Below are 11183 nucleotides of genomic sequence, written 5' to 3' on the forward strand. Positions count from 1 at the left end.
GGAGGTGAGTTTACTCCATTTGTATGTATCCTTGAGGTACATTAGCTACTTCAGGGCCAGAAATAGATGTTCTGGACTATGTCTTGATTAAATTAATAGAATTCACGTGATAGGATCCTCTCTATCTCATTTTATATAGTAGCTATGAGCAGTGTCCCAATTCTATTTTACACTTAATAAATTGGGAGCACACTAATACCAACGAGTGAAGACCTTTCCTTAGAAGGCTCCAGTCCTTGGAAAAGTTGATGTCTCCTCGAAGCCCTAAAACTTCTGAAGTCCTGTGATTAAAGTGGTAAATAATAGGTCATTTTTTAGGCAGAACAACCAAGGCATACTGTTATGGACTGAATTGTGTCTCCCCCACAACCCTCCCAAAATTCATGTGTTGAAGTCATAAGCCTCAGTATCTCAGAATGTGACCTTATTTGGAGATAAGTTCTTTAAAGAGGTAATTAAGTTAACGCGAGGTAATTAGGATGGAGCCCTAACCCAAGAGGACAGATGTCCTTATAAGAAGAGGAGAGGAGGAACAGCCACACACAGAGGGAAGACCACGCGAGGACACAGGGAGAAGATGCCACCTACAAGCCAAGGAGAGAGGCCCCGGGAGAAACCAAGCCTGTGGACACCTGGATCTCGGGCTTCAGCCTCCAAAACCATGAGAAAGTACATTTCTGTTGCTGAAGCCCCCCCAGGCTGTGGTGCTTTGTTAGGGCAAAAATCCCGAGCAGACAAATATGTACACCAGTCCCAGCGCCCAGCCTCATACGGGCCTATGTTAAGTCAACTCTCATGTGCCAGATTCTGCTTCCTCCAGCTTTAGGTACAAAGGAGGGCAATGAGCCGCCCTTTTACCTATGTTCTCTCAACACGGATCATCAAAAGGGGGCAGAAGGAAGTGGGAAGGAGGCCTGAGAAGTTGCCAAGGTAGATAAGAAGTCCTCAGAGGGTACCGCAGGACATTCTGGGGCTCAGGGTTGGGAGGACTTTGTGGAGATTGTGCTTCAGTCCTGCCCCACAGGACTGTCATGAGCACTGGTGGGTTTGAAGGGAATGTGGACAGAAGGAAGAGGCACTCACTCCCTGGAAGGGCCATCCTTCATGTTTAAAATAGCCTCAGTCAACCCTGCCAGATGACAGTGAGTCACAGGATGGTGGATTTCTTACCTGCCCCTTGGCCAGAGCCACCATCGTTGCGGCCAGCAGCGTGGCCCGGCTCCCTTTGTCCAAAACAAACACTAATGCAGGCAGGCAGCCCTGTGGGTGAGAAGGCTCAGGAGGGTGAAGGCTTGTTTTGGAGGTCATCCCATTTAATCCTTCCCTTCTGCCTTTCTCTTTGTTTCTCACTGAAGCCCAGAAAGCTTGCCTGGTCGTGATTTTTTATTATTAGTAGTATTAATACTAGTGTCTTGCCTTTCGGTTTGGATGGCCTGCAGAACTCATGCCCAGCAGTGCACGGCCACTAAGCCCACTGAGGCAGGGGGCTTAACTGGGCTAGGGGGCTTCTAGCTCCCAGCCTCTGTGGGCTATTTTTGCGGGTTTTCTCGCTCTCTCCCAGCAAGCCTCGTGTCTGTGGGATGTACCCAGTCTTTCCCGTGCGCGCATTTGAAAGGAGCAGATGAAAGCTGCTCCTCTGAGCCCGCCTAATTGGAGAGAATTGCAGTTTAGAGGTAAGGGTTGGGCCTAATAAGCAAGCAGGGGAGGGTGCATAGAGGAGGGGGCGGGCTAGGAGGAGAAGAGCTTTTTATGAAAATGTGGGCCTCCCCACTGTCATTCCCCTTCAGCTGCTGCCTCGCAGATGGACCCTTTAATTGAATTTTCCTACAGGCCTGGGGGAGGGAGTCATTTCAGGTCCAGAGAGCAATTGAAGTGAATCCGAGGGCTTTGGTTTCTTTTCATCAGGAGCTGAGGGCCAGGTGGGGTGGGTGTCAGTCTTGGTATTTTCATCTTGTGCCTGCTATCTTTGTCTACCTTGCCATTCTTCTCATTTTCCCCCTTTTAAAAATCCACACTCAGGATTATGTTGCTACATCCTGGACTTAGTCATCGCAGAAGCTTGGAGGAAGATGAATTAGAAAGATAGGGTTTTGTTTGATTCCATTGGTTCAACCTTTTACTGAGCACCTGCTGTTTGCCTAGGCCTATGTTCAGCTCTGATGAAGACAGTGGGAAGTTCAATGCATGCCTTCTGAGAATTTCTGCCTAATCAGAAAGAATGCCCTTAAAAATAAAAGAAAAAAGCAAAACAAAACAAACAGCCAATAAACAAAACCAGCCGAAAGACCACAGAATGAGGCATGACATTCTAAACGGAATATGACCAAGCACTAAAATGTACGGGTAAGGCAACCAGAACAAGTCCCTTGAGGGTCAGAGGCATGTGGGCCACTTATTTTGGACAATAGACTGTAAATGGCCTGATATCAAAAAATGTACCTATAGAATGCTCAACACCTCTCTCTGCCCCGGGAAAAGCAAGAAAGCAGGGTAAGAAAAGGAAAATAGGGTCCAGTTCTCCACCTTCTGTGAAAATAGCAAGGGTGTGCCTGTATCCAGGATTCTGCTGAGAGTCCTGTAGGTTCGAGTATGATCCCAGGAACGCTGTGAAGAAACCTGAACATCCACCTGTCTGTATCTTCAACCATCTTAATTGAGCTTCACGAGATGGAAAATGTGGTCATGTAGAGGGGAAGAAAATCTCTTACCACAAAACCATGCATTGGTTCGTTCATTCATCAATGTTTAAGTGTCTACCATATTTCTGAGTCTCTGTTCAAGACTGGAGATACAAAGTCAAATATCACATGGTTTCTGAGGTTAAAGGAGGGTAGCACCATGTGGGCATAACTTAATTCTTTTGTTAGTATTTTATAGCAAGAAAACTTAGTTGAAATCTGGGCACAGAGTACTTAATGGATATAGTAGGTGAGGGAAGAACACGAACTGCCTCTGTATAATAGATATCCCTAAATACAAAACATTCTAAGCAAAGCAGGAAGCCTGTGAGTTCTTTATTGTGGCCCTCAGTGGCAGCCACGTGAGGCTTGGCATAGCAGTCGTCCTCTGGTGCTCAGGGGACAGTAACTGAAGCTACTAGGGAGGATGGGGTGACCAGGAGAGGTGAAACCAGAACTGTGCTACAAAAGAGGGAGAGGATTTAGATGGAAAGAAAAGGAAGGCTACTCTGAGCCGATCACCCCTGGCACAGATGTAGAGGTGGGAATGAGAATGGATATATAGAGAGAGGTGGCCGGCCTATCTGTGTAGGACCATGCCCACGGCAAATGGGAGAAATGTGTAGTCAGGTGAAGTCAAACCATCAAGGCGGATCCTCATTTGCATAATGAGGAATTTATTCTCACAGAAAAACAACAACAAAAAAATTAACTTTCATCAGGTTCCTGATACAACCAGTTACTTTTTTCATCTTGATTATTTATCATTGTCATGATCGTCATCATCGTCATCATCATCACCTAATCCTTACATGACTACTGTGAAGTAGCAAATGTAATCGATTGTAGAGGGAAGGAGATCCCGGTTCAAACAGCATAAGTGACTCACCCAGCATCACAGAGCTAGCGTGTGGGTGGAACTGAGAGTCATGCATCAGCTCCTGCACCACAGCTGCCTCCCTGGCAGGGAGCAGGAGAACAGGGTCGTGGCCAACATCCCCTTGCTCACTCCTTGGGTACTCTAAGTATTGCCTGGGTATGTGGTGACCAGGGGGGAGGCGAACAGAGCCCACCAAAAAGCACTGGGGTCACCATTTTAGAAGCTGTCCCCCTGCCAATCCTCTGAGGCCAGCCTGCCCTACTCTTCCTGATGAGAGGTACCAGGAAAGTGTTCATTATGCCACCTGCTGTGTTAAGCACTTTACATTCATTACTTCAATTAATTCTCACGCCAACCCTTGAAAGTAAGAATTATGGCTCTTGTTTTACACCTTAGGACATGGCGGCTCTGAGAAGTTGGTCTGACTCCAGTGACTGAGCTCTTTCCCCCGGGCAGCTGTGTGCTGTAAGATGCTACCTCTGGAGCACTCCCCTCTGCCAATGTCTTAGAGTTCACACTCAATAAACATCTTTTCAGAGATAAGTACATGCCACCCACTGCTAGCCACACACCTTGCCAACTCTACTTAAAAAATAAAAGCAAAAATCTTCAAGTATTGATTCATAAGGAGCTTGACGCATTAATGAGAACTGGTGTCAGTGGGTGACTTGCGCAGTCACCAAGGGGAGGAAGGCATCCCATTCCTCCTTGCTTTCCCCAGGGAGGACCCCAGGGATCACCTACCAAAAATCGTCAACTCAGCCTTCACATACGAATGCTTGGAACCTGGTGATCGATAATGACAAAGCTGATGTTTGTTGATCGCTGTGTAGCAGTCACTGTGCTAAGAACTTCACGTATATGGTGGGATAGTATTTCAAAGCAGGGTGTCTCAATCTTGATACTACTGACATTTGGCACCAGATAATTCTTTTATACAGGAGGTTTCTCTGTGCATTGTAAGATGCTTAGCAGCATCCCCGACCTCTTTCTACTAGATGCTGGTAGCATCTCACTCCCTCCCAGTTGTGACCATCAGAAATGTCTCTAGACATTGCCCAATGTCTCCTGGATGCCAAAGTTGCCCCCAGTTGAGGACCACTGCTTTAGAGTATAAATTGATGTGCCTCTAAATTGATATGTTGGGATCATTTGCCTCTAGTTCAGGCGAGCACAGAGACCAACAGCAATCCTTATCAGCTTTGACTTGGGCCATTCCGGGCCATTCTGCACCATCTGCCTGGAATTCTGGGTAACAGGGTCATGCCTCAGGTCAACCTTCCCCCATACAGCCAACACATAGCAACATGAGCCCCACTCATGAAGGACCACAAACATAATTAATTGTCCCCAAACCCCTGGGCTTTGGGTTTCCTGAGTTCGTATGCTTGGGAACAGCTGCTAGTGGACATAAAACGCTGGGAGAACCCTTTCAGATCCTGCCTTGCCACTAATTAGATGTGCAATCTTGCAAAGTGACTTAAGCTCTCTAAGGCTCAGTTTTCTTCTCTGTAAAATCAAGATAACAGCACTTTCATCACATGGGTTCTCGGGAAGATTAAACAGGATGCTAAATATAAAACACCTCCTCTTGTGCCAGGCAACATAGTAGGCTTAATCAATCTAAATTGTCTTTGTCCTCACCCTTATCTCCCCAAGACAAAGATAGGATTTTATCTGGAACAAAACCCAGTGAAGGGTATGTTAACGAATTCCATCAAACAGAGCCATGATATGAATGAATGGCTATATTTCCTTCCAAGCATGATTTTTGGTCTTGGCATAATTCAACCCCTTTTTGATTCTCCAAGTAATCTCTCTTCAACCGAGTACACAGACTTGATGAATCAAGGCTGCTTTTGGAGCCCTCACCAAGAAAGGTGTGGGCCCCTCTGCAGGTGTCTGCACTCCGATAAGCTTGTCAGCAGAGGCTTTTCAGAGCCTGCCTCATCTGTCAGATGTACAGGTGTGCCTGGGCTCAGCTTACACCCTGAGTCAGGGTCACGGTTGGCAAGATGGAGTTTTTCCCCAGGGATGGAAGCCTTATCAACTTGAATAACAACCTGCTGCAGCCTGGTGCCTGCAGAGGGCAATGAATAAGCTTCTCTTTGCCCTGCATCCAAAAGCCAAGAGCCAGTGCACATTCTCAAGGGAATCAGATTGGGGGTGGGTTCTTGGTAAAACTGAAGATTATCAGGCCAAAAGAAACAGAAAAATAGATGGTAGCTGCTTAGTAAGCTTTTGTGTCTTTTAAGGTTTAACTGATTAAGAAAAACCTAGAAGATTCTAGACTGGAAATCCAGTTTTGGATTGCCTCTGCTCTTCTCTCGGGCATGCATTTTCCTGAGTATCGAGAGAGAGAGAGAGAGAGAGAGAGAGAGAAGTAAATACATATGATGCTGAAATCTGAAAATCTTTCTAATGGTTGCAGTTGAGAAAATCATTTTGATGAAAGAGGAAGGTAAAGCTTTTGGATGAAATGGAATTTGGGAGTAATTCAGATTTCATTTATTCTCTTTCTTGTTCTCTCTTTAAGTCAGTAGGGCCCTCTAACAGTCACTGTAAAATATTCTGCCTATAGCAGTTTGCTTTATCCATAGTTGCTGTGATACAGTTATTAGAGGAAGCACAGCCAGTCTTAGGAGGTAGGCCTCTCTCTGGTATCACCTGAAGAAGCCATTTGAGGATTCTACCCAAGATCCATGGAGGAAGAGTCTCTGTCACCAGCCTGCTGTGACCCAGCTGGGCTGGAAGCTTGGCTGTGTGAATATTGTAAAAGTTGCATGATTTGAACGTAGACTCAGCTGGGCTAATGAGGACAGGACTTCAGATAACCATGTGACGAGATCACTCTCCTTCCACAGAATAATGCCTCTTGGGGATGGTGGATGGTGAAGTATATCAACATTTAAGAGCTGAAAATAAAAACTTTGTGTTCCCCAGGAAAATGATGAAATCACCCAGAACCCAACTGAATATCAGCTAATAATTAAGAGCACAGACTCCATAGTTTGCCCTGCTTTTAAACCCTGGTTAGCTTACTAGTTATGTGAGAACTTGGGTAGGTTACTTGCTTATTCTTTGCCTCAGTTTCTCCATCTGTAAGACAGGGAAAATAATGGTATCTGTATTTGTTTTTTAGAGCAACTGAAACAAGTCATCACAAACTGGGCAGCTTAAGCAACAGAAATTTATCCTCTCACAGTCCTGGAGGCCAGAAGTTCCATAGCAAGGTGTCAGCAGGTCCATGCGCTCTCTCTGAACGCTCCAGGAAAGACTCCTTCCTTTCCTCTTCTAGCTTCTGGTGGTGGCCGTCAAGCCTTGGCATTCTTTGGCTCACAGCTGTATCACTCCAATCTCTGCCTCTCTCACCACATGATGTTTGCCCTGTGTCTGTGCCTTCTCCTCTTACAAGACACCAGGCATATTGAATTTAGCACCTATCGTAACCTAGTATGACCTCATTTTAATGTAATTACATTTCCAAAGATCCTATTTCCAAATAAGGTCACATTCTCAGGTACCTAGGATTAGGACTTCAATACGATCTTTTCAGAAGACACAGTTCAACCCACAGTAGTACCCCATGGGATGTTGTGTGAATTAAGTGAGATAATATGAAAAGAGCTTAGACCAGTGCCTGGAACATAGGAACATGAACTACTTATTCTTTCTAAACCTTACGATAAGCTCATAAGGGTGGATCTTATTGCACTTCTTCAACAGAAGAGAAACCCTAGGCTGGAGGTGAAAGAAATTGGCCTAAAGCCACCCACGTAGTTAGTGGTACAGTTCAAGTTTAGAGTGGCTTGCTCTAACTCCAGAACCCAAGTACTTCTAATAATCTATTACTCCGTACTCCTTCTAGAGCGACTTGGCTTTCTAGAACAAACCAGTTTCTTCATACTTTCCTTATAAAACTCACTTTCCAACCCTGGGGTTCTCCTACTTCACTCTCCTGCCACCTGCCACGAATTATTCAAGTTCAAATTCACTACTTTAGAACCCCCAATTAAAAAGCACTCAGCTAGAATGGCGGTGATTCTTGCATATATCTTTAACCAAGCTTGGCCAACCCACTCTTGCAAGCCACATGCAGCCCAGAACGGCTTTGAATGCAGCCCCCCAAAATTCATAAACTTTCTTAAAACATCATGAGATTTTTTTGTGATTTATTTTTAGCTCATCAGCTAGCAATAGTGTTAGTGTATTTTGTGTGTGACCCAAGACAATTCTTCTTCTTTCAGTGTGGCCCAGGGAAGCCAAAAGATTGGACCACCCCTCCTGCCTTTAACCCTTACTCATTCTTAGTACAATGTCAGGTTTAACCAGGACATCAAAATAGACTGCAACATTTCCTTACCTCAAGGGTTTATGGATGAGAAACATCAGCCAATTACAAATGAATTTACAATATGCCGGATAGTATTCTAAGTGCTTTAACAAATATTGACACATTAAATCCCCCTGACAACTCTGTGAAGGAAATATTGGTTTATTCCCATTTTACAGATTAGGAATATGCAGACACAGAAAGGCTAAGATCACAGAGCTAGAATGTTCCAGAACAGGGACTTGGCTGGGGTAGTCTGCCTTTTAGTTCCAGAGCCTATGCTTTTACGCACTGTGTTCCATGTGCAGTGGATTTATTTAAACATCCCCTGAGGACATTAAGGTTAGTTTTAATATTTTGACATTCGAAACAATGCTAGAGTAAACATCCTCAAGCTAAATCTTTACGCACAACCCGAATTATTTTTCTGGTAGAATTGTTGTGTCAAAGAGTAAGCATGTTATTAAGGCTTTGGTATGTAACGTCAAATTGCATGAATGAGGGAAGGAGTTCTCAGGAAGTGAAAATGGGATCAGCAACAGCATGAAATGGAAAAGCATGGGGGTATGTCTGGAAAATGGCAAACACTCCAATCTGAATGGAATGTAAAGTGCTTGAAGACAAGAGATTGAAGCACTGCTTCTAAATTGGTCTGGACCCAGCTTGTGGAGCACTTTGAACACCAGACTTCAGAATTTAGACTCTGTCGAGCAGCACTCAAAAACCAGCATACATTTTTGAACTGGGGAGTGAAATGATCAGATTCTGTCTAAAATAATTTGCTCAAGAAAAACTTGAGGAAAGAAAAACTTCTTTCCCTTCATAAGAGGAGTCATTCATCACAACTGCATCAGTACAAATGGACTGGTGGGGGTATATTTCATTATTCTTTTAACATGGTACATTCTTGAAATTACCTATTTTTACACACAGAGAAATAAAAGGATTAATATAAAGAATAAATATATCAATAACAATAATTATATGTATTCTATTTTAATATATGGATTATTTTATATATTCTATAAATGTATAATATACTTAATATTATAATGTATAATAATACAGTAGTTTCCTCTTATCCGCAGTTTAGCTTTCCAATGTTTTAGTCACCCATGGTCAAGGGCAGTCCAAAAATAATAAATGCAAAATTTCAAAACCACAGAACACAGAAGATGGTTCGAATGAGTATTTTTTTAAGTTGCCCATGGATGGTATATCACTAACATCATTCTAGATGTAGAAATGAGAAGTTAGTTCATTTCACACAATGGATGCCCCAGGACATTAGGGCTTCATTCTCTGCATAAATGGTTGAGAAAAACTGGTAGAATGTATCTTAGGAGTGGAATTTCTGCTGGGGGTGCACAATTCCTATGGTACCTGACGGTGCCACAGGGTTGTATCAAGGTACACTCATTGGTAAGAGAATTCACAGCTCTACAGCACTGCCAACAAATCAGGTTGTTAAAATGCTTGCTACTCTGAAAGGAGTAAAATAGCATTACAGTGTCTTGAACTTGCATTTCTGCCATTACAAATATGGAAATCTTTCTTTTTTCATATTTGTATAGACTAGGTTTCCTTCTTTCTGAATTTCCTGTTTAATCGCTGGTCCATCCATTTCTCAATTGGAGTATGTGTCTTTCTCTATCGATTTGTAGGCATTCTTTACATACCCTGATAGTAATCCTCTGCTGGTGATACGCATCATGGCAAGTATTCATTAAAGTAATCCTTTATGGTGAATTTTAATGTGTTGAGTCCTACTTTAAGGCTAATGCAGGAAAAAAAAAAAAGAAGTTCCCAAAAGGACAGCCAATATGTAAATATATTTACAGTTCCTTCACTAAATAGACAAGTATTACATATCTTCTATGGGTTAGACTCGGTAGGGGAAAGGTCTGGGGATATAGAAATAAACAAGTCAGGATATCTACCCTTAAGAGATTTGCAATGCAGAGGAGGAAACAAACATTTAAATTCTATTACAACCCCGTAAGAGCCATCATGGTTAGCGGTGAAATATTACACGTCTTAGCTGCCATAACGCCACTTTAGAGGAAAAAGGATAAACGTTTCTGCAGGTCATTATCACAAGACTGAATGAAGACAAGGAACAGGGAAAGCTTCTCTCCTGCACCTCAAGTCCCATTTCCTGGCAGGGCACAGGGTGACCAGTTCACAGATGTGGTAGTACCTGCTGTCCTCCAGAGCCACCACACCTGGCAGGACCAAAGTCCTTGAAATTACATTCTCTTAAGTATATACGTGCTCTTTGTTCTCTCACACCTCTGTAAACAAGGCTTTTTGCTGCTGTTCCCATCAAGCTGCTCCCTGCAACTGTGTAGAGAGACTGTCACAACAGCACTTGTCAGGAACTGCAGCGTAGCAAGCCATGACAGCTGGTGGCACGAGGAGCCCATGCATCTGCTTTTCTCCCTCTGCCAGGCCTCCCTGAATAATGGGAGGTCTTGTGTACACACGAATGATGCTATTGATCCTCCCACTGTGGGCCCCAAGCACTGCCGTTCTTTGTAAGTAGCTGGGGGTTGCGTTTACACTGCTCTCCTCACACACCACCACCTAATTCCCCCTGGGATCCAGGGAGCGTATTTGTACTTGGTTATAAGTGCAGAGAGCCCTGGAATCTTTATCAGGAGAGCAGAATTTGGGTGGCAGCCTTGTCGCATACCAGGTGGGTAGCTGTTTCTGTACCTCTTTTCTCATACCTAGGAAAATACCTGTTCTGAAGTTCTCAGTGAAACATATGTGAAATTACTTATGAAACTGATTTGTGAGCTCTCTTGTACGAAGCAAATGAAAGTTATTATAATTATTTGCATGACTCTTGATATGGAAGGCACAACTTCAAGAGGTCCACTAATAGCATCTTGTGGTTTCTGAGCCCACACATCTGTGGCGCATCGCAAATGGGCACACAACTTTTTCCTTGGACAGCTGATGTACTCAGCCCTGATGGGGAGTGGGGGATCTCAGGAAAACAAGTGAGAGAATTCTCAAATTCACAGAATCATGGACTACCAGATACAAAGGGGCCTTCCCATCTACAGTAGAACCTTGATGGGTTGAATCAGTGGCCTCCAAACTTCTTGTTCCCATGCTTTTAGCAGGAATGCATTTTTGCATATAACTTTCCAATATATGCCTATTTATTCATTTATAGACAATAGATGTGTACTAATATAAATGGGCATTTTAAAAACATACACAAAATTAGACATTTTTAAAGTGTAAAAAAAGTTCTAATATTTTCTTCTGGCACCACACA

At 43.5% G+C, this 11183-nt stretch overlaps 1 annotated feature.

Annotated features, from left to right (window-relative positions):
* Positions 865–1435: an enhancer, noted in NCBI's record as "H3K4me1 hESC enhancer chr6:14540385-14540955 (GRCh37/hg19 assembly coordinates)". NCBI's record gives its function as "activates a minimal SCP1, AML or CMV promoter by ChIP-STARR-seq in primed H9 embryonic stem cells {active_cell/tissue: H9 hESC(primed)}" and the evidence as "EXISTENCE:reporter gene assay evidence [ECO:0000049][PMID:30033119]".

Source organism: Homo sapiens, chromosome 6 (assembly GCF_000001405.40).
Source record: "Homo sapiens chromosome 6, GRCh38.p14 Primary Assembly".
NCBI classification, from domain to species: domain Eukaryota; kingdom Metazoa; phylum Chordata; class Mammalia; order Primates; family Hominidae; genus Homo; species Homo sapiens.